Below are 25641 nucleotides of genomic sequence, written 5' to 3' on the forward strand. Positions count from 1 at the left end.
TTTATTGGAACAGAATTGAATGTGCCTGTTAGTAACAATGGGTAATAATAAAGTACAAGTCTATGTAACAGAAACAAATGAAGTGTAAAGTAAAATAATAGAAGAACATGACAATGGGGATTTTTTTTTTTATTTGTCTGTTCAGTGTCGTCAGAAGAGAGTACATCATAAGCAAAAAGTTCACTTTGATATCTGCTAATTTCATGGATAGAAACATAAGTGATTGATCAGATAACCTGCTTTACTAAAGTTTATTTTGGCAAACAAAGGACTCTATAGCCTTAATGTAACAAGCATGTGTGATTCATAATATATGACATAATTAGTAAAAGTACAAATTATCTATTTCACACTGAATATTTATCATCTCATTTACATTTCCTCCTCTATGTAATAAAATGATTATTTATTTTACTGTTTATCTTATTAAAATGTGGAAATCTTCTTGGAAATATGCCTGACTCTTTTCAATTTCTAAACTCCTTATTACAGGCATATTTAAAGCAACTTTAACTATTTTAAGTAATTTGAAAATAGCTATAGTAAAATAAATTGAACAAACCGTACTACCTAGAATAAAAGAATTAAAAAATCAGCAAATGTTTGAAGGACAGACAGTAAATACAATAGCAGAATCTGCTATCCAAAGAAACAGGATTAATTTAAAAAAACAGAGTAAGACTTTGATACTAATATAACAAATATTATTAGAAATAGTGGAAACAGAATAATATCTATTAAACATAAATAGATGTGAAAATAAATCATCCCTGTTCTTTTAAAATCAAAAGATAATCCTCTCCCTTCTAATATCAAACTAAACAAGAAAAGAGACTCTAATTAAGATCAAAGTTGTGTGCTGGAAGATAGAGTTTAGGAATTTTTATAGTGCATAAAGGAGAAATAGGTAAGAAGTGGGAATGACAAGCTGAGGAATATTGGAAATATCTAGCAGTTTCAATATTCACTGTTTCAAGAAGAGGTCCCAGAGGGAAATAGAATGGAACCAGAAATGACATTAATCAATTAGTCAGTTTACAAATATTTGTTGTGTCTCCTTTCTTCCAGCCATTGAATTATGCACTGGTGATACAGTGATAACAAGGAAATGCCTTGCCTAGGAGAAGCAGGTTGACAATAATCATAGAAAAAATAAATTAGATAAGGTAAATCTAAGTATTAAATTAGAAGATAAAATCCACAATGTGATAGAGAACAAAGGTGGTTCGATGATGGGGGCTGGGATTGCTTTAACAAGATGGTCAATGTTGTGAGTAAGATGACATTCGAGTTCAAGAAAAAAAATTGGAAGGAGATGGTCTTGTTCAGTCTACAGGCAGATGACATCAGCAAGTACAAGAAGCTCTGCGAAAGCAATGAGGTTGGAAAGTTTGACAGAATGAGAAACAGTGGGCAGGGCACAGGCAGTAGTTCTAGAATGGGATGAAGTCAGAAATTATGTGGGAAGTTTTGGTCCTGGCCTACAGAGTTAGTATTTTATTTGGGTTGCAATGAGAAGTCTTTGGAGGATTTTGATTTTGTGTCTTAAAAAATAACACATTTTCCTTTACACAAACTAATTTTCTCTGGTGGGTAGAGATGCTGTTATAGATGTAAAGAGGAAAAACTGAAAAAGTAAAACCAGAAAAGCTGTTGAACTAGTCCAGGTAAAGGAAGATGATGGCTGGTGTGTACAAGGTCAAAGGCAGCAGTGTCTGTGGACCACATGGAGTAGAGTTTCTCAAGGTGGTACATACTCAGCTTTGTTCCCACTGTCTGTCACCACAGAGGTCAGGTCAGTGAAGAGACACCATTCTTTGAGTAGTCTTAATAGCTATAATTGATTGTCAGGCAACACTAATTGTTTTCATTGTATAGACTTCATTTTAGCTTGCATTTGCAAATTACCATTCTTTTTCTAGGTCATGTCTATAGATATATGATCAGAATTGTACACAGCAAAAAAGATATTAGTGTGAAAGTTTAAAAGTCAATTTTCTCTTTTAATTTTTGTTCAGAAACAGAAGTTAGAAAATACAAAGTGACACTTGGAATATAACATGGTTCATCAGCAGTAAAACATTTTTAAATGGACAATTTTACTACCATTTTCGATCTCTATATTTCACGAATAACTTTAGATTAACCAAAATTTTAAATTTTGGCTAATGTCACATTTGTCATTAAAATGGACCAAAAAAGCACTGAATTTTGTATAAAAGCTTAATACATTATATTACTCTTAAATATCATGATTGGAGAACCTGAGAAAAATATGCATTTCTTCAGAGCCCATGCATGACCAGTAGCTAATTTTTCAAGTTTATTGTGTCACGGTTGTGCTTTCTGAACTGCAAAAGCAATTAGATCAAATTAAATGTTTGCTGAATTGCATTAAATTGGGGGAAAAGTTTTTAAAGAATTGGTGGAAGATCAAAGAACAAGGAGAAACTTAGCTACTCAGTAGATGTGCAATTAAGGAAGAAGATTAAAATGTTAGTATAAAATGCCCTTTATTTCTGAATTATTAATACTTAGGACTTAGTTTAGGAAGTGTCCATCCTTTTTCATTTTCAGCTAGCATGGAAAAGTGTGTCTTCGTTTAAGGATTTATTAGTTAAATTTCAGGATAATCTGGTCTAAGAAAGAGGTCCAAAATATAATGCCCCAAATAACACGAAGATGGATTTTATCATTATTCAGAGTCCAGAGGGAAGTTGACCAGTGCTGGTACAATGACTGCCTTGCTCAATACATGACTTTCTTTCATGAAACTCAGTACCTGTTTTTCTCTGAACATATTTTGCATATCTATTTCATTTTAAAAATTTAAATTGATTCTCACCTTCTGTCCACAGATTTTAGAGATAGTATTGCAGGCTGAATTAGACCAGTACTAAAATAAATTAAAAATTTAATATTTTTCAAGTATGGTCATCTATTGTGCTGTAAATTTCAGTGAAGAACAATTACTTTCACAAATATGTTAAAATTACCAAATTGTTACTAATTGATACTTTTTTTTGATCCAAGTTAAATGTCTGAATATTTTGTATAAATTATTTGGAAATGGTTAACTATATTTATGTTGACCATAGGTTATTCTATTAAAATAGTTATAATACAATATATCTTTTTTATAAATGAATCAAACACTGATTTATAAATTAAGGAGTAAAATTGCAACTTGTTTAACTTCTTAACTCAAAGTTAAATGTTATTAAAATGTCATATGTCATACAGATGTAAATGTCATATATAAAATGGCATATACATATAATTCCAGTTGTTCATACATGTGTAAATATAGAGATATCTTTTCCATTACTTTTATTTTATAGAAGTAATAGGTTCTGATTAAATAACAATTAAATTACAGAAACAAATAAGTCTAAAAGCTAATGTTCTTTTCCATACATCTTTTTTCTGACCCCAACTCTGATTCTAAAGTCCTTCTCATGATATTTCAGCCAACAGTTGCGTATATATACTGCTAGTATTTTCAAATATTTTAAATTATATTTTATTTATATATGTATAAACTACATAGTTTTCTTGTGTGATCTTATGCAATTGAAATGATATCTCATATTTTTAAGGAACTTTTTTAAAATGTAAGGTTTCTTGGATGTCTTTTAGTTTAGTCTGTATGATTTTACTTATTTTTGATTAGTTATTTAAAAGTGTTAACACTAATAACTGCACATGATATAGAAAATAAATAATCTGTTTAAAACCTACATAATATGTAACAACCTTCTTGAACACCATTATTAACATTGTTTTGTGTATTTCCAATATAAGATGATATGGCATTTTAACTTGATTTTTGTTTTATTCAACTTGATTTTGTTTTCTTAGAGTGAAATTCTTTTCATCCTTTGTATGGCTACCTAATATGCCATTGACTTAAAAAATGTAATTCTTTAAACAATTTCCTATTGATGGGAGTGTTTATTATTTTAAATGTTCTATAAATGGTGTTTCAATGAACATATTTAGATACAGGTAGCCATATTTTAAATATATTTTACATGTTTTAGCTTAAGTGATTTTTAAAATTTGAATGTTTTGCGATATCACAGAACTTTTGGATAGACAGTACTTGAGAAAGTATTTAAATCCTCCTTTATAGATAAGGAAACTCTAGTATCAACCCTAGTATCAAACCCTAGTATATTATTTCCCCTTGGAAAACAATGTAATATACATTGTTAGAAACAATAAATATTGTTTTAATAAATATTGTTTGGTAATATAATATTACTATAAATCTAACAATATTTATTATAGTAATAAATTTATAATAGTAATATTATAGTAATAAATATTGTTAGAAATTACTTCTATGTTTATGCACTCCTGTTGACAGGAATATGAACTTTGGATGTCTGACAATCCAGCATTATGCTAATATATAGTTTGTTCACAGTTGGAACATTAACTTTGCTCTCTAGATTTTTTTTTAAGTCACCAAATTGTAAAATTACAAACTTTCCTATATTTCACCTTTATCAATTCTTATCCTCCTAAACAGATTTATTTTCTTGATAATATTTATTACCTTAGATTACTTATTTATTTTATTACTTCTTTTCCATCACTTAGAATACAAACTTCTTGAAGAACCTGATATTTGTCTTTTCTGCATAGCTAGAGCTTCAACACTTAGAATGATGCCTAACTCATAGCAAGACTCAAATATTTGTTGAACATGTTATTTTATGTCTTTTTGCTGATACAAGAAGCATTTTACTTTCACCTACTGCAAATGTTATTATAAACTGTGTTGTGGACCAGGCGCAGTGGCTCACACCTGTAATCCCAACACTTTGGGAGGCTGAGGCGGGCGGATCACTTGAGGTCAGGAATTTGAGACCTGACCAATATGACGAAACCCCATCTCTACTGCAAATACAAAAACTAGCCAGGCATATGGAACACGCCTTTAGTCCCAGCCACTTGGGAGGCTGAGGCAGGAGACTCGCTTGAATCCTTGAGGCAGAGATTGCAGTGACCCAAGATTGTACCACTGCACTCCAGCCTGGGCAACAGAGCAAGACTCCATCTAAAAAACAGCAACAACAACAAAAAACTGTGTTGTGGTCTTCCCATTATTACTATTTTTAAAGATGTTATTCTCAGAGTCCTATAGCTACTTATTTTTCAATGAATAGGTTTTATGTAGAGGTGCTCTTCACTCTTTTGCTTCTTTCATTGTTCTCTGCTTGGCAATTAGAAGGTGGTCTCAGTTTAAAAATGTTTTATTTTCAGACTTGGAGTATTTTATTATATTTATGAGTAATTCTTCCCATTTTATATTTCCTTTTTTTCTATTTATTTATTCCATACTAGACCAATGTTTTTTGTCTTTTGGATTTATACTGCCTCCCCTACCTTTTCTCGTTCATTCTATCCCTTCATTTTTTGACTTGGTGATCTGGAAGATTTTTTCACTGTTGTATTTTTATTACTTTTGCTATTATTGAATTTTGATTACCAAGAATTTTATCTTGTCTTCTGAATTTTTAAAAAAATGTTGCTGCTTTTTTTTAATGGTTTTGATGCAATATCTTCTCTAATCAATCTAAAATTACTGAGTAGAATTATCTTCAATTTCACTAGTATTTTCTGAATTACCACGGTTTCTTCTTTGTTTAATTTCTTTGTTCTTTGTACTTTGTTCCCTCTCTTTGGTTATGTGGAGATCATTGGTGGTTAGTTTATATTTGTGAATGAAAGAGAAGATTGGCTAATATGGGTATCGGAAGGGATTTTCTTTCTTTGGGATGGGTTTGTTTCCCTTCCAGAATCTTCTGACTGGGAGTGCTGACTGGGAGGACTCAGTGAATAAGTGAGGCATGTCAGCAGGCAGGATTCACCTCAGTGCACAAACTCCTATACCCCAAGATACATGTACTCTCTTCATAAAGCCTTTATCTTGTACCCTAATGTTCCCACTAAGAATTTATCTAAATTATGGAAGTCTCCTAAAATGCAAAATCTGTCTTTTCTTGAAGAGACAGCAGCACTTCTGTTACTCTCCCTGACTGTGTGGTGATGGTGGAGGTGGTGGTAGGCTGCATGGTCCAGCTGTTCCAAATATGGTTACCGCAATTACTGTCCTGCCTCTCACGCCCATTCTCTAAATATGTAACCATCCAAGTTTGGAGCCTTTCTGAAGCTCCACAGGGAAGATTTTTTTTTTTTTCCTCAGGCCTGTATTTTTATCAAACTGCTCTCAGCCTCTTTAGATGCTTTAACTTCAGAAATATAGTGGTGATATCAGGGCTCTAACTAGTCAATTTTGAACATGTGCTCCAATTCCAAGGTTATTTTTGGAGAAAGGTGAGCATGCATGTACCAAGGCATTATTTTGAATGAAACACATGGAATATATAAATATTTATTGGCCTTTTGACTCTATTTTATACCATAACATTTTATGTCAAATAATTTCGATTTATTTGCATGTGTAATAATAAAGATGGCAGTATCTTCATTCCTAGACTATGGGGTCATATAATTACAAAAATAGATTCTTGGAGTGACATGAGAGTATAATCTATTACCACCAAAGAAGATCTTGAACAAATGTTATAGCAAATTACAAGTGAGGTTATCTCATATTTTTCATTTTTAGCATTTTACCAAACATGTTTTTGGCTGCTCATATCTATGAAAGGGTTTGGTTCTACTTCTTCTTTATTGATCTAAGATTTACTGTTAATTCGTTTTCTGAAGTCAACTGTCTCTTAGATTTCTTGTGATTTTCTGTTATCCTGGCTACTAGAAATTGCTGGGAATTAGGTGGAAAACATTGTGTTTGATGCTGTTTCCATGAATTACATGCTTCATTTGGTCTGTAGAAAAATGAACACAAGCTTTTCAAATACCCATATATTTCTGAAACGTGTTTTTATGGCCTAACTCTAAAGTTCTAACTAAACTCTAAAGCTCTCCAGTACTTTGGCTCACCATCAAGAGTAGTGCTATGAGCAGCAATTCCATAATATAGTATTGCTCTTGTTATTTTATGACAATCTGCAGGCACTCAGGAGAACTGGATGGGCAATTCATATAATTCTACCATATAATGCAAATTTGTTTGAACTACAAGCTAACATTTGTCTTAGTAGTCAGATGAAGGTGAACACTGAGTACCGTAGAAAAGCGAGTGATTTATGATCCATGGGAAATGATTCTGCCCCACCGGCTGGTTAAGTGTGGGGCTTTAACAGCTATAAAGCATAAATCTACAGTCTATGAGGCTGCTCGGGTTTATTACTATTTTTCTAACTTGAGAATTTTCCTGTTGGGGATAGAACCACCTTGTCTGGTCATTTATTACTCATGCTTAAAGCTTCAGCTATACTGTGAGTCTCTGCATATGCAGTGTTGGAATTTCCTAGTTATATGTGGGATAACTTCAGTCAATTATCACAGGTGCGCTCTCTCTCTCTTTTATAATTTAAGGAGGGGAGTTAGCTGTAAAAAGAAGTGCATCAGTACGAGTTTCAGGGCTATGAAGAGTTCAATTCTGAGAAGCCAGGGAAATAATGCAAAGTAAAACTGAGGTACCTTTGGTAAGGAGAGAAAACAAACCTTCTGAAGGTGGCAGAAGAAAATCAAAGAGCAAGAAAGCAGTGTTAATATAATTTCTTTGAAAAGTAGAAAAAGAGAGCACAAATAGAAGTGAGGTAGAGGCCTGTGAAATACAGAATGGGTGTTGAATCTAGTTGTGTATCAGATAATGTCTGTGACTATGCAATCATTATTCACTACTGACTATTTTTTCTTCCACTTAGGGTCTATTCCTGAACTTTTTTTTTATCCTGGCCACGCACCCTTTCCCCTACTCCTTTTCATCAAAAAGGAAAATACATTTATCACTTCTTAAACTTTTGATTAATGTTAAATTATATTAAATTGGGCCTAAACCTGCCTCCCTTTGTAGTGAACGTAACCCAACTAAATATGTAAACAACCTGCAACCTAATGAGACTATATTCTTACAACAAATAACTGAGTCTCAGCCAATCATAGAGGCTGAGCTTTCAGCCAATCCCAGGATGCAAACTGCTCAGACATGTCCAAATAAAGCAAAGGCCACCAATCAGGCTATTTTTTTTTTTTTAATGTCAGTTCCTTTTTCTCTATATAAATACTACCTGCCCACTTGCTAGCTTTCTGAACCTTTACTGATTCAGGGTGCTCCCTGATTTATGAGTGCTTCTTTGCTCAAAAAAACTCTGATAAATTTAATTTGTCTAAAGACTTTAACACCAGCAAGTGAGTGATGTGTGTGTGCATGTGTTTGTGTGTGTCACATAGGTACTGACACTTTTCAAATTGACATTTTCAGTTTTGTAGAGTCCCCCATAGACATATTATATCATAGAGAGTGCTGTACATATTCTCACCAAAACTGTTAGCTTTAACTAGAACTAATACCACCAAATGAGTAAATCGTAAGGTGGTTGTCAATGGTTAACACCAAAGTTGAATGAATGTGTCATTTCCAGGGTGACAAAAATAATCAAATCTGAGAAGGAGTTTTTAAGATTTTCAAGTAGTTAAAGACTTCATTTCTTGTATTCATTCATAAGCTTTTAAGGAATTCAGAGTTAAGTTAATCCTTTGCACCATTAGACAAGTTTTCACAGGAGATCTAGCAGTTTTCTGTGCATGAATACTGGGATGGCAGTAGTCTTTCGTATAAAAAATTCTCTTTCAGGAGTCTGGTAGTCCATGTTCTACCTCATGTTCTGGTCCTTAGTTCTGTGATGTTGAGCACATCTCTTTATTATGTTAGATCATTTTTTCCCGAATCTGAAAAGGAAGACAAATAATGGCTTCCCAATTGCCACTTATATTGCTACTCCAAGTTCAAATTGATACCATACTGTAGAGATAAAAGTGACTCCATCCTGGATGCTAATCTGCAATGATAACTTCTGATTGGCCCCAGTGCCATGAATGCCTCCTGGTTTCAATTTTATTTCCTGTTCCTAGTATAAGAACAAAGAAGGCTGGGTGTGGTGGCTCATGCCTGTGATCCCAGCACTTTGGGAGGCCGAGGCGGGCGGATCACCTGAGGTCAGGAGTCCGAGACCAGCCTGACCAACATGGAGAAACCCCATCTCTACTAAAAATACAAAATCAGCTGGGCGTGGTGATGCATGCCTGTAGTCCCAGCTACTTGGGAGGCTGAGGCAGGAGAATTGCTTAAACCCAGGAGACGGAGGTTGTGGTGAGCCAAGAATGTGCCATTGCACTCCAGCCTGGGCAACAAGAGCTAAACTCTTGTCTCAAAAAAAAAAAAAGAGCAAAGAAACTTGATGTTATCGCACAAATTACAGGCTATGATGCATACAGCATTCTTGCCTGTTCTGGAGGCCTTTAATTGTCTTGCTGGAGCACATATACTGTTTCCCTATGTTATAGAAGCCTTGGGTCTAAGGAATAGTGGTGCAGAGATCCACACTGCCTAAGACCACACTTCTGCCTGTAGGTTTACTCAATACATCACTGGATACCAACAAACTGGATTTGTCTGCCTCCTTTTCGGTTTCCTGGCTTCTTCAGCATTTGGGGGTCACTTTATATAAGGCCCTTTCATGAAACACATAGCAGAAAGCATGTTTAGACTATTCAATGCCAGAAAATCATACAGAATCATCTTCAGAATGTGAAAGAATGTATTGCATATATGTATATTATTACATTTTTTAAGATTTCATATAATATGCACGAAGGTTCTATTTGGTTATAGTATCCTGCAATGTGACTTTCTCTTAGGTTCTTGTGAAGCTCCATAATAATGTTTCAGAAAAGGCTTAATTTTTAGCAAACTCTTAATTTTTATAAAAGTATTTTAGTATATTTTACAAACACATTTTCATAGAAAAAAATATGTGTCACTAGTAAATAGCCCAGGGAATAAACAACTTGAGTAATTATTTACCATATTGTTATAAAAATTTTTATTTCTTAGCAATAATGAGTTACCTACTCACATTGGGATTTTCTTTACTAAAAAACTGATACAAAAATTTCCATGTGTTGTTTTGTGCTTTGTGTATTGAACGTTTCTGTGTGTGTGTGCGGTAAGAGGAGGTGATGAATATGTTTAATGTCTTGATTGTGGTGATGGTATCACAGGTGTATGCATATGTCAAAACATATCAAAATGTATAAATTGTATAATTTGAATTTATGCAACTTTTTCTATATCAATTATAACTCAATAAAGATTTAAAAAGAAAACTGGTACAAATATGAAATACAAGTTTGATAGAGTTAATTTTTGATAGAGTCTGGAAGACTCCACTATACAACATTTTAATTAAACTATATGCAAGGAAATTAAGTGATAGTAAAATAAAGTTTGGATTATATTTATTGATTGTAAATTACATGTTTCAGTTTTTAATTTAGAATAATTAAAATAAGTTATTCTATCAACCCAGTCAAAACCAGTGATATGAACAACATGTTACTCTAATTTTATGTATACATTGCTACTATGTTTGAAATGGTAGAAAAATAAGTTTAGATGTTTTAGAGAAAAGATTTCTTAACAAAGTGAAATTTTGTTATATGTTATATTTTAAATGTTTAGAAGTTTAATAAAGATAGACTAGATGATGCAAATTTTTCAATAGCAATTAGGTTTTGAGGAAAAAAGGGACAATTATCAATTGCTAAGGTCTGCAACTGTAAGGATTATAAGACTGTTAATGCTATTAATGGATAATATTTTTCAATAATAATTAAGAATCCTAAAAATACATGTCACATGAATTATTTACATTATATCCACAAGAATATTAGTGAGGCACCCATGTAATTGAGATCAGTATGAATCTCCATTTTAGTGAATTTGTTTCAGTTTTATTAGCAAGATGGTATTATTTTTCAACATGGATCTATATTCCATTGATTAGTAGATTAAATAAAAAGGTTGTTGCTTTTCCCAAATGGATCCATGCTGAGACATGGTAAGCAAGATGATTAGACATAACCCTGTGTACCAAACATGCATCCTGGGGAACTGCTATCACATGCAGCCATCACTGAACAATGAAAAGGTCACTTGCTTCGTTATGTGCTTTAGTGCCTGGCTAACATTCAAAGTTCACACATCAGACATTGAGTTGAAGTATTTATTTTCTCTGCAAAACAAAAAAAAGTTTTTGGAACTAGGGCTGAATGAGCAAAGCTCATAATTGAAACAATTTTCTAGACTTTATTTTTATAGGCTATTAGTAATCATCTAACATAATTAATTACAACCTTTGAAGCATGGCCAGGACAAAAATATAGAATTACTTTGTCTGTTATTATCATGTGGAGGGGCATTTTCAGGTCAACAATCTAAATGCCTTGGAAAACAGTAGAAGAAGTGTTGTTTTATGAGCGATGAGAATATAATGTGATGTAAACAAGTTTTAACATGTTGAAAGTGGAATACCTGCATCTGAGGGGCAGGATTTACTAATGGAATATTTTCTCACTAATAATATCTCCAAAGCCTGAATATTTCTGGGTGGTATGTAAGATGATCTTTCCAAAATAATATACCAAAATAACGTGTCAGAAAGAAGGGCAGGATTGTTCAAGATGAACTGGTTATAGCTTTTATAATTCAGTACATGAAGAAAAAACATGTTATTTACAAAGACAGATGTGAATACACATTTGACTGAATGCACTGGAAGTTTTTAATAATTTACCATTACATATCGTGCTACAGTTTAGAGTCTAAATTTGTATTGGATTGCAGAGAATTGTTCTCCAGGCAGTCTTGCAACCATAAGACTCAGGTGGAAGGGACAATTGCTGGATGCAATTCCTGTGCTACTGTGTTAAAAGCATATTTAAAGTGTTGTTTGCCATGCGAAGGATTCTCCAAGATATAAAACGGTGTTCACTACAAATACTTCTACATTTGTATGTTCAGTTGATATATTATTGTCCTACAGAACTTGTGACATATTTTAGTGTAAATGTACTATCAGTTATCCCTGTGTCTTAACTATTGTCAATCTGAACTGAAAGTGGAGCAGATTTATTAGTAAAGCTACAGACCTCTCATGCAGCTGCTGATTCTATTTATGAGGTTCAATGCAGTTTTAGAAATGTAGCTGTAAGTGCACTTGTTGTTCTAATTCTTTATAATTTAATCTATCATTTCAGACTCATAATGTTCTCCCTCTCTGTCTCTCTTGTTTTTTTTTTTTTGTTTTTTTTTTTACCAGTGGTAATAACATTTATTTTACCAGTAGCTTTATTTAGTAATAATCACTCAAAGTTAAATAGCATTATTATGCCTTGCCTCATGCTGTACTTTTGGAATCCTGCTACTGAGATAGAAATTAAGAGAGTTTTCATTCACTTGAGTGCAAGATTAGATCAATGGATAGAATGACATTACTTTTCTGCTCCATGATTTTTACCAATAAAAATCTCTGTCTCTCACTCTTAAAGTGTTTTTGGGATTCTTATGCTAAGAGCCTCTATTCTGGGGCAGAAAACAAAGACACTTTGTGTCCACTGTAGAAGTAAAATGAAGTTTTTGCAGTAATTGGTGGTTCCTTTATAAAACAAAAATTGGGTGAGAATGAGTAAAAATAACTGAGGGCTCAAAAAAAAAAAATTCCAAATGGAAGCTCATAGTAGCAGCTTCACCCTGCTGTTTTATGATCATTCGAACATGATTTTCCTAAATGCAAAGATTATTTTGTTGCTTTGTTCTCTCATCCTTTCTTAAGGCTAGAAAAGGATGTGGCTGTGGTATCATTCAGTAACAGGGTCAGAGAAGAGTGAGACATCAGACAGTTGGGAACTATTAGCGGAAAAAGATGAGAGTTCAATATGCTCAAACAGTAGAAGTAGTTTTATGGACTGCCATGTAATGCGGGGGGTAAGAATAGCTCAACTTCTCACTCTAAAAGAACAAAAGTCATTAGCATTTCCACTGACCCACTATGTAACTACCAGTCCATCCATCCATTTATCCTTATATCAAGTGATAATGATTTTTGTTATACTGTTTTCTTGCTCTTTACATGCTTAAAGAGCAATTTACTCTTTAAATGCTCAAATAACTTTTCTATTATATTGATGAATAGTATTGGAATATGAGGACTTTTTAACACTTTCCAAGACTTTCCATTAAGACATAGGCTATTATAATTTAATATAAATTAAAACTACATTAAATAAAATACTTTGACATTATTTTATATTTAAAGCTTCATTTTATTACCCAGAACAAAATAATAAAAGACATAAATTAATCGTTTTTTAATGCTTATTTTTAAGGTTTAGTTTTTTAAGGTGTATTTACATAATAATAACTAGTGATTTTAAACATGTTATGGTACCTTTATTGATTCCATGCTTTGTTGTTGATCTCAGATTACTTGATCAGTTTTATCTGCAGGAAAAAAATCTTTAATAATTAAAGGCAAATGAATTGGCCAGAGAAAGACCTGAATTTGAGCATTGCTATTTCAATGTGTTGTCTTTATTTGGGATGCAATGTTCACAAACATAACCAATCTAATACATATCAGAGTGTTTCTGTCAACTGTGTTACAACTGCCACCCTGCAATAATATCTACATTTTATATTAGAGAGAAAATAATGCATTACCATCTTTTTTTGCACATTGCCATATTCTTTCTTCCAGTACATTTTTATGCCAGAAATCCTTAAAGGTGAGTTTTCTTATTCTATCTTTTGGCTCTGATTATGCTTAAAAATCAAAAAAATTTGAATTGCTACATCAATTTTTTTAACTGTACTTGTCTATAGCCTATTCTGACAACACTGTGTAACTATTGTTGTTTTAAGGATCCTGAAAAAGCCTAAAGCAAGCTCGTCTCTCAGTTGGACACAATCAGAAGTTGGAAAGGGGGCATTTCAAAGGCATAAACTACATCCCTTTGTGGAATATGTAACTGATATACAAAAGTTTCGGTTTATACGCCAGTAACTAAGGTAGTTTACTCCACCAGCTGTGGTACTTTTTCCTGGTCAGATTGGAGGTTCTTTGCTATTACTTGCCACAATTGTAACTATATAGAAGTGGTGCATTATTTGCTAATCGTCTGTTTTCCTGACAAAAAAACGTACTGGATCTGCTTCGTTCAGAAACTATCCTTAGTATATAAAAGAGTAGCTGGCAATTAGTAGCAGCTTTAAGAATTTTTGAATTAGTGATTGTATCTTTGACACCTGACTTCATAATGAGCTCATGGTGGCCTTCCAGGGTAAATATGATAGAGTGCTGAATTTTTAATTATGGAAATAAAACTACGTTAACTAAAACACTTTGACACTATTTCGTATTTAAAGCTTCATTTTATTACCCAGAACAAACTGATAAAAGACATAAATTAATAGTTTTTAATGTTTATTTTTAAGGTTTAGTTTTTAGATGTGGATTTATATAATAATAACTAATGATTTTAAACAGGTTATGGTATCTTTATTGATTCCATACTTTGGTGTTGACTTGCTTTTACTCTGCATTTCTTACTATTGGGTTAATTAATTTATAATTTAGCTATATGAAAAATTTAAATATCAATACATTTAATAAGAAAAGAAAATACCTTCTACTTATTTTATTTCTGAGATTCTAATTATGTTTAAAACAGGTTAACTTGTTTCAACTTGGAGTCTAAATGTATACCTTAAGACGTGAGAATGTTTAGACACCAGTTTAATGATATTCTATAATTTTCATGTAACTATTTATTTTAATTTTGAAATAAATATATAAATTTATATTTATTATTAAGACAATTTAGTTTCTTGAATGTGTTTTCTTTTGTCTTCCATTCTTTGCCTTTGACATATTTAATATATTTCACTTAATATTTAGCAATAAAATAATTATGACAGTTTGATGAAAGACACGTAAGTTGCAAAATCAAACCATTAAGAAGAGTTATATTGTGCCCTATAATGCATAACATCAATAGGACAGATGTAATGGTTAATTTTCTGGGTCAACTTGGCTGGACTATGGTACCCAGATTTTTGGTCAAACACTATTCTGGATGTTTCTTTGAGGGTTTTTTTTGGATGAGATTAACATTTAATTCAGTGGATTTTGAGTAGAGCAGATTTCCATCCATCATATGGGTAAACCTCATCCAATAAGTTGAAGGCCTTCCTTTCCCCCAACTCCAAGCCAGAAAGAACTCTTAAAAATATATCTCTGTCTCTCTGTCTCTCTGTCTGTCTCTCTCTCTCTCTCCTTCATATGCTGTTGGTTCTGTGTCTCTGGAGAACTCTGACTACCACAACAGACTTTATTCATATACTCTGTCAAGCAGGTATATCTAGCAGTTCAATAGTTGAATACTGTGTTTGGCTCTATGGTCTATTCTATTATTATTTTATTCCACCACTGTCAATTCTATTCCTATTTTGTATTTTTATATGAACTAGAATTAACACTATTCTTTTGTTTTGTTTTGCTTTGTTTTGAGACACGGTCTTGCTCTGTCATCCAGGCTGGAAAGCAATCATAGCTCACTGCAGCCCTGATCTCCCGGGCTCCAGCTATCCTACTGCCTTAGCCTCCCGAGTAGCTGCAACTACAGGCATTCGCTAGCATGCCTGGCTAATTATTTTATTTTTTGTAAAGATGAGGTCTCACTTTGTTGCCTAAGTTGGTCTCGAACATGTGGGCTCAAAAAACCCTCCTACCTCAGCCTCCCAAAGTGCTGAGATTACAGGCATGAACCACCATGCCTGCCCCAAATTAACCATATTGGAAAATTCTAGCGGGTTTTTGAGGACACTAAATATATAAATCTATGAATCACTTATGTATGATAATCTCAGGATTTTGAACTAACACTATGTAGGTTACCAGTATCTTATTATAACCACTTGTTTTTATATTTCTTTTTAAAGAAGTGTACTGTACTGTTTAAAGGAGTGCCACAATGATTATGTAATTGCATAAATATGTAATTGCTTATCACATACTTATTACATAATGCTGTATCCTTGCTGCCTATCTTCTAACCCTGGTAGTTCCCAAGACATCTTTATTGAACCCTTTTGATTCTAGCACCATAGTCTAAAAAGCATTCACTGGGGAATGGTTCTATTTTTTCTCTTATTTCTGTGTTGTAACTGCAGCTGCTATTGCTTTTAGGATGTCCAGTGTAATATCATATTTGCTGTTTTAAGTGTCTTACATATAAGCCTTGCAATAACAAGTGCTCAATAAACATTTTTATAAGCTGTTCGAGTTCAGCTATAATTTCTAATGGTATGTTCTGTCTGCTAGTCATGTGACCATCCATAAAAGACAAGTATATTGATCTAACTTAAAGTAGAAACAATCACAAGTAGAATTTTTTAAAAAAGAAACTAGCAAATTAATGGAGGAAAAGGGCTTCGGAAAAGTGAAGAGGGCTAGAATTGTCTAAAATGTTAATTTAAATACACAAGAAATATTAGGTAAGCTGGGCTATAATATAGCACAGTTATTTAAACTAGTATAAATTATATATGTTTTTCTAACATATCTGCCTTATAAGTCTGTAGCTTTTAACTCCAAATGTCATTTTTATTTTACTTTATTTAGTTATATATTCATTCAGTTATACCTATTTTCCAAGCTGTTTCAGAATGAGAATGTAGCTGTTTGCACTGGTGTGAATTTTATGATAATATGTTCCTCGGTGTGCTATATAAGGGAGTTTGGATTCTTCAATAATTTAGAAGAAGACTGTACTTAGGATTCATTTGTATTTGATATGAATGCCAATTTTTAATTGAAATAATCTAATATTCTATCATTGATGATGTAGAGACCAATATAAGCAGCAGTGGATGATTTTTCAATTGTAAAATATTTATCATGCTTCAAAGATTAGATTCTTATAATACTTAATAACAGGATGACAGGATATATTGGCATATTTTTAACCATAGGAAGATACATAGTTTCTTGATGTAAGCATTGATTCTCACTTTAGCCTTAGCCACTATGTATACTTGAGTCAATGAATCTTAATATTGACCTTAATAGTAATCAATTTCTACTTCACATTGGTAAAGTCATAAATCATAGCTATATGACATTCTGGTGTTACTGTTTTCTAATTTCCCATGACATTTTCAGATCAATACCTCACTATTTACTAAATGAAGAAAACAGTTTATTCTGATAACTCATTTGTAGAACATAGCACTTTAAAATTAGCAAGCTGATATTTTAACTTTTATAATTTCTAAAAGGCATCGCAAGATAGAACATGATCAAGGGAACTCACACTCCTGACACCTTTGAATCTTAAATAACTTGATTTATAATTGATGATTGATGCACATTTTTATTTCTGTGTGAAAGCTACATAAACAAATAGGTAGTTACATTATTTTATTCAGAGACATGCCACTTAAAGCAATATTAGAAATGCAAAATACTTGAAATTGAATTAAGCAATTTAATCTGAGCCATAAAATTAGTTGCTGGAATGCAAAGTTAGAAGATAATTGCCAGATTTCAGCATCAGTATGTACCATTCTCTAAAACTTTAGAAGTGTTATGACAGTATTTAAAATATAAAAAGCTGCACCTAGATAAAATTGACTCATCAAAAGAAACATACAGCAAAGAGACTACAGAATGCGCCTGGAAAATTAACAAGGCCTGGTGCTCTCCGCCTAAATCATTGTTACACACTAATTAGTGCTGTACTCTGATTTGAGGCTTTAAATTTGTTCCTTTGAAGATTTTCTTAAAATTGTATTCAAAGGAAAGGCTCTTCTTTAATAAAACTGTATAATTCTTCATTCACTTGGGAAACATAGCTTCCCAGCATAATGCTGCTGAAAATCAGGTGCTGACTTCTAACAGAGGTGCTAATTATTAACATTCCAGCATCAGCAAAATGCTGCATTCTCTAAGACTGACATAAATAATATGCACAAATATTTCTCCTCTATTCCAATAAGTACTTGAAAAATTCAATAATGTTCATTAAATACATAAATGTGAGAATACTAAAACTAAAGATTTTTCCCCTGTGACTTGTTATGTACTGTCTGAAATGCAAAGCTGAAAGAAGGCATCATTATATGGCATAAAAAGAAATTATTTGGCTGTTAATTATAATGTAAATTTATCATTATAGCAGGGGAAAAGAGTGACATCATATTTAAAATCATCAGACATAGCTTGGTCACTCAAAGTATAGATGCATTAACCTTCAATAATTTTTACAGTACAATGTGGACAAGGATAATATAAAATGATGAGATGCCTTAAAATGACTTACAAGAAAATTCTTGTAATGATCTGTTATAAATGGAAGATTGACAGAAGAAAAAAAGGTATTTTACATTGTTTCTGGAAGATACAGTAGTTAGCAGGAAAATTTACGCAGACTTTAGTGCCACACAATCTGTAAAGTGCCTTATTTAGTACTGTCTTTTTCTCTATCAGTTTTACAGTGACACTGAATTAATCTACAGTCCCACTCCTAAGTGCAGAAAGTTAACATTGTTGTGTTTGTAAAGAAGACCTTGAGCTGAGATTTAAAGTGATAAAGTTGTTGAAGCATCAACTCTCTCGGTATGTCCTTGGGAAATTATCTGATCCTCTCTGCCACTCAGTTTCCTCATCTGTGCAGAGAGTTGTTTAAGCTAAATGATCACAAGGCAGATTTCACCCTGAAAAGATGGACAGCAGCAGGTTTGTTGGGTAATTTTGCATTTCGTCAGTTTAGGCTGAAAATATCCGATACTTCCCAGAGTCTCCTTCCTTGTGTGGTTTTACGTAAAAATTGGCTGTAAGAGATATTCTTCTGAGACTGAGGAGAAGATGAAACGAAAACCACCGCATTTTGAAAGTACTTATCGTCTAAGGCAGTGAGAAGAAACAGGTGCAGTTGCAATTTGTTCTCTTTTCCTTGCTCCATGACCAGTTCTCCTCAGCTATTTCTGGCCCTGTGGACCAACTAGATACTTAGCTATAAACTCAGAGATAGCAGCAACAAAGAACTAACAATACTCACCTGCTTCGTGGTTCTGCTCTAGCAGCGTCCTGCAAGCTCTGACTTTTACATCCACACAGGGATGTTTAATGATCTTTTTTTCCCATTTCCTTATTTTCTAATTCTTCAGTTTCTCCTTAAATGGTGTAAGACTTAATTTCTATGATAGTGATTTTTACACATAGTGGTCTTGCTTTCCTAATGGAACCCTAGCTGATATGACTGATGAATGCATGCACTGGGGCTACCATATTTAATATGTTTCACAGATCATGTATATGTAGCCATTGAAAAGAAAATAAAGGACTGAGTGTTTTTTAATTTTATAAATACCAAAGAGTTATTTTTAAAATGCTGAATTCTTAGGTATATTTAATGTTCAAAGTAGTATTAAATCCATCTACTTCAGGTTTTACATCATTTCAGTTTTCTGAACTTTGCCTTGTCTTTGAAATTCTATTCAAATTTTACTGGTCAATATGTTAAAGAAAACTTTGAAATAAACTTGAATTCGATATTTACATAAGCTCACTACGGATACAGAAAAACTTTGAATAAAAATAAATATAGTGAAAGTATATTAATCCTGAAATGACTATATTTAGGATAGTATCATCGTTTCTATGAGATGAAATCGTTGAGGAATTAAAGATTCTCTTGGTTTATAAACTCCAAGTGAGCATTTTTTTATTATATTCAACATTATTTCCCAAAAGCATTGTTTCATGTTTCTTTTCAAGAAATCTAGTTGATGGTTTTAGAAGCATTCATTCAAACCTTCCCAAATTTTACTTCCTGTTTTCTTTCTTCAAAGTGTCTGTGTGCAATTCATTCATGAGAAAAATGTAATGGGATTCACTAGGGTATTTCCCAGGAATATTGCTAACTATCAAAAGTTGGAGACTTGTGGAAGCTAATAGAATCGGCAGGATTATACACACACACCAGTTTTTGTGCTTGCCTTAACCATATATTTCCATGTATGTTTTTTTAAAAATCTAAAGCTGTTATCTATTTAGGAATTTTGACTTTCAGAGGAACTCAAGCTCATGAGGGAAAATTTCTCAGAGACAGTGTGGATAAACATAAATCCTGCAATGTCTGAAAATTGAGTTCACAGTTAAGGTCCTGGAAAATGTGAGGAAGTCAAAAAAAATACAACCAGCAGACCCTCCACAAAGGCAGTGGGGCAAGATGAGAAATGGAGGCTGTTCATCATTTACCACCATAAATTACATGAAAGTTATGGAAAAAAAATTATAGGTGATTAAGACATTCTCAGCTTTATCCTGTCTCCTACAATGTTTATATTTTTGTTTCACTTTTTCTCAATTAAGCAGCAGATTATTCCAGGAGTACTAAAAAAAATGAGATAAACTAGAACTCCTCCCTTAGAATAATATGCTAAATTCATGTCCTGCATTTATTGTTGCCAATAATCTTGTTTTTTATTAATGGGAGCTAAAGTGAGAGGAAAACAAGCTGAAGGGGGAAGGGGAAAACATAATGCAAATGTTTTCCCCGGTATTTATGTCAAAAAAATGTCAATTTTTATGACTTTGAGCCAAGTCAGGGTAAGTTAGAAAATATTTTAATAAAGCTAAGTCTAAGCTAGAACTTTGTTTTACAGACAAGAGAAGAAAATTTTACATATAAGTTTTCCAACTCAGTTGTATTATCTAACAAATAGCTAACAAAGTCACAGGGAAGGAGATGTCATTTTCAGGAGAAAATTAGGAGCCCGAAGTGAGCAGCTATGTGGTATTGCTGTTTGTTTTCTGTAAAAGGGCTGGGAAAATAAGCATTGTATCAGTGAGAATTAGCTTTGACTACAAGTGGTCAAAACACAATAGCAGCAGTATAAGGAAAATATAAATATTTCTTCCTTGTATAAAAGAAACCCAAATTTCAGCGGTCCATGGCTGGTCCCATACGTTATTTTGTGGTTTCATAAATTTGTCAGTGTGGTAGGAAGAATTCTACTACTGGCTATGAGATTCCTGCTACCTAGTGTACATGCCATGTATAATCCTGTTATCTAGGCAAAAATGGTGATGTCATTGTAACTTATAGAATAAGCAAAGGAAAAGGGGTTTTGCAGATGTAATTTGGGTCTCTAATATCTTGATTTCAAGTTATCAAAAGAGAACGTATCCTTTGTAGGTCTTAATTAGCCGAGCTATTTTTAAAAAGATTCTAGGCTTTCCCTTAGTTAGACACCTGAAACAGTAGGGACTTTTCATGGCTTTTTGGCCATGAAAGAGTAAACTGCCATGTTGTGGAGAAGGGTACAAGATGATGAGCAGTCTCCAGCAGCAGAGCACTTCAGCTTTGCAACTGCTAGGAACTGAATCCTGTCTACAACCACAAGAGCTTGGAAAAGGACCCTGAGCATTAGATGAGACCATAGCTACAGTCAACATCTTGATTAGTTTCATGAGAACCTCAACACAGGCCCAGCCTAAATCATTTCCTAACTCCCAACCTCAGAAACTGTGAGATAATAAATCGTTTCTACTTCGTGATCCCAGACAATTCCTTGAACTTTCCCCCCATATCTCTTATGTAAAATGTAACAGGAAGGAAGGATTAAATAAGAAGGAGAAGGAAAAGAAGAAGAAGGAGAAGGAGGAGAAGGGAAACAAAAGACAGTGCCTCCTTTTAAGAACACTTCCTAAATTTTACACACAATAACTGCTTTATATTACTAGCTAGAACATGGCCACATGACCATTGAGCTTCAGGTTGCTTTGCTCTGGGTAGTTATTGAGAGCTCCATTACTGAGAAAGAATGTGAGAATAGATACCAGGAGAAAGCCTGACTCTACCACAGATTTGAAGTAGTTCAATATGTTAATGGAAAGCAGGCAGCAGGATGGGTGTGCTTAACTAGAATGCTGGCAGAAGAGAAAGCCATCTTTTCTATGAGAGATCTACAGTCAATCTTGTCATAAAATAATAAGACAGAGCAATCAAGTCTCTTAGAATATCATGCTTTAACTTAAAAATACACACAAATTCTAGGTAATAAAATGTTTTATGCCTACTACTATCTCTGGAATATAGCAGTACTTCTATTCTAAATATACTTTTGTTATTGTAATTTAAGGAATGAATCATTCTAACAAAGTTTTTGTTCAATCCACATTTAAGTTTTATGCTTTAAGTACATTAAACACTTGTTGTGATGGGTAATTTTATGTGTCAACTTGACTGTCCTAAATGATGCCCAAATGATTGTTAAAACATTATTTCTGGTGTGTCTGGGAAATAGCTTATGTACGGTCTGTGTCTGTCAGGCAAAGTAAGCATCATAGATGAGGTGAATCAGTGCAGAGGCTCCAAATACCACAGATAACAAAGAACTGATGACTAGGCTATTTTGATTTTGTTTCACAAGGCAACTCTTCAGGGATTCACCTTTAAACTCCCAAAAAGGAGGAATATAGAACAGGAAGACACAGTTATTGACAATCAGCCTTGGGAGCCTTAGGGTAAAGTGGGCACTGGACAAGCGCAGTGGCTTGAGCCTGTAATCCTAGCACTTTGGGAGGCCAAGGCAGGAGGATCACTTGAGCTCAGGCGTTCAAGACCAGCCTGGGCAACATAGTGGGACCTCGTCTCCAAAAAAAAAAGAAAAAAAAGTTTTTTAAAGTAAAGTGGGTAGAGGAATGATGTTGAGGATTTAATGATCCCATCTGATCCTATGTCATTTAACTTCTTACTCCCACCAAGGATTATACACTGCTAGATATTTCTTTACAAACACTGCTGCTTGGGCTATAGCTGCAGATGTAGGGGGTAAGTAAATAGGCAATAATTGTCTTCTGTAATGCTGGAAACATGCCAAAGCAACCACTGGCTTCTATCATTGAACCACCCTTTAACTCCTGCTTCTGGATTCACTAAGCCCTAGGCTGCCTCCTATCCCACAGCCCACCCCTGCAACACACAGGCCAGCTCAGAACAGCCATGTGTATTCCCAGGGGAGTTTCCCTATCAGTGTGTGTGTTTGAGTCTGTGTATGTGTGGTTGTGATTTATTCAGATATAAGCTTCTTTTTGACTTCTGTAGTTTCTCCAGGGTAAATATAAAAATAATGATTTAACAGCCTAACTGATTGAATGCTATTATGTAATACTAGCTCTTTTTAATAATCTTTGTCAAGTATATCTTTCCATTTCCAACCTTCCTATATCCTTGCATGTAATATATACTGCATTTCCTATATACACATAAAGCTGGGGTTTTTTTTCTTAATTTAATGATTTTTTCCACTATGTGACTTTCTGTATTTTTTCATAAGTCTAATCTCTTTGCAATTATTTTTATTGCATCTATATTTGAATATATATACATTCATGGATTGATTGATTGGTTTTTGAGACAGTCTCACTCTGTCACCCAGGCTGGAGTGCAGTGATGCCATCTCATCTCGCTGCAACCTCTGCCTACCTGGTTCAGGCGATCCTTGTGCCTCAGCCTCCCAAGTAGCTGGAATTATAGGTGTGCGCCACCATGCCCAGCTAATTTTTGTATTTTTAAAAGAGACCGGGTTTCACCATGTTGCCCAGGCTGGTCTTGAACTCCTGACCTTAACTGATCAGCTCACGTCAGCCTCCCAAATTGCTTGGATTACAGGCATGAGCCACCACAGCCAGCTATATTTGAATTTGTTTCTTCAATCTGTGGAGTTTTTTGTTTTTGTTTTTGTTTGTTTTTAATTTGCCAAAGTTTCTCTTTGCTCTGCAGTTGTTATTACTGTTGGTATTATTACTTGCAACATGTTGTTAAAGTAACTACTGAGAAACTTTTGTTCAACAAGAAGGAAAACAGAAACAATGAAAGAGCAGAGGAAACATTAAGCAGCACTAAGTCACTTAATCATTTGTCCTTCAGTTAACTTCTGGAAAATAAGGAGTTAAAGCCAAGCAATGTCAAAACTAATGTCTATTTCTCAAAGGTTATTATTTCTCTAATAAAGGCTAAAATTTGGAAACAAACTAATATAGTTTATCAGAGAAATTGAGATTTGTCTAACAGGCATAAGAAATTTAAACTTGGATGTAATTGTAACACTTAGTAACCATGTGCTTTTTAGCAAATTGTTTTATCTCTCTGATTCTTTCCAGTCTCAAATGTAAAATACTAATGATCATACTCGTGTGAGGGTTTATAAAGCTGTAAGTGACATTTTAATGTAAGAAAAACAGATTGAAAAGCTTGGGAACATGATGCAAGTAGATTCCAGATGTTTAGGATGGAATAATATTATATGGGATTATGAATGTTAAAACTATGTGTCACAGAGATGGCAAGTCTTTGGAAAATGTTCCTGTCTATGACAATTTTACTTGGAATTTCCAGCAATTAATTAATTGAAAAAAGAGCAGAATTCCTTATCAGTATTGGTATTGTTGGGGTTCTTCTAAAGTAATTATACGCATTGGGTTGTTAATAAAAATTTTAAATATGTAATATAATTTAGGGTTTCTTTAGTCAATATTGTTTTTAAATCTGATTTGTGTACAACAATTAAATCACTTTTTGAATCTGTTAAATTTTATCACTGTAGCTTCTTCTATCAGGACTCTACTTATGCTCTTACTATAGTCAAATGTTAAAAGCAACCAATTAAATAATAAAATTAACATTTTAAAATATTTTAATATATTACATATATTATACATTAGTACAACTTTATGAGATAAGATGGGATGTTGTATCGACTAAAAATCTTTCACTTTCCAAATAAAAATCAATAGACCTTGTAATTAAGCATAGTATAAATAGGTGTCATGAAACTGATATCACATTCTTGCCATTGATGTGATGCTTTCAGTTACAAATAATAGGTTTCATATCTTTCCCTTTTCATTTTGATTATAGAAACACTTTTTAATGTTGTTGGACTTGAGACTTATTTGTAACCAATTTTTTCTGAACTCTCCAAGAAAGCCACATTATAATTCTATTTCATACATATTAGCTATCTCAGCTGTGAAGAGATGCATAGGCTTTTACATTTCATTTAAATACAATAAACAACCTTTTATAAAACTATCAGTTTAGCTCTGACAGTATACTGGCTCAATGAGTAAAGGGGTCTGTTATTTCTGTGGTGCTAAGTTTCTCTGAAGTTTCTCTGATCTAAATGAACTCCATTCTCCTTGTTAAATCTGAAGGACAAAGGGTCACAGAGATTGAACTCAATTGGAAAAAAATTAAACTGATTTTACTTTCAGTTAATATAATGTGGCATGGAGCTGGCATTTAATTCCCATTTGTTTACAAACACCAGACAATATACAGCTTCTGAAATGTCAGGAGGGACTCCTCTTAGAAAAGGGAAATAAATAAAAAGGAAAGTAAAAGTCTCTTTCATCCTTTTCCATTTCTTTACTCAAATTGTGACATTCTAACTCATTTTACCAAATTCAAATTCTCTGTGTTGAAAAAAAAATTTGAAAGCAAACATTTATTTCACAAAATAGATCCATAAAATTAAGGGACTGTCTAAATGGATAGTATAGTATTAATCTATAATTGTTAGATGACGTTGGAAATTACATTATTCATCTTTATTTTAGTAATGTGGTT

Source organism: Homo sapiens, chromosome 4, assembly GCF_000001405.40.
Source record: "Homo sapiens chromosome 4, GRCh38.p14 Primary Assembly".
Lineage (NCBI taxonomy): Eukaryota > Metazoa > Chordata > Mammalia > Primates > Hominidae > Homo > Homo sapiens.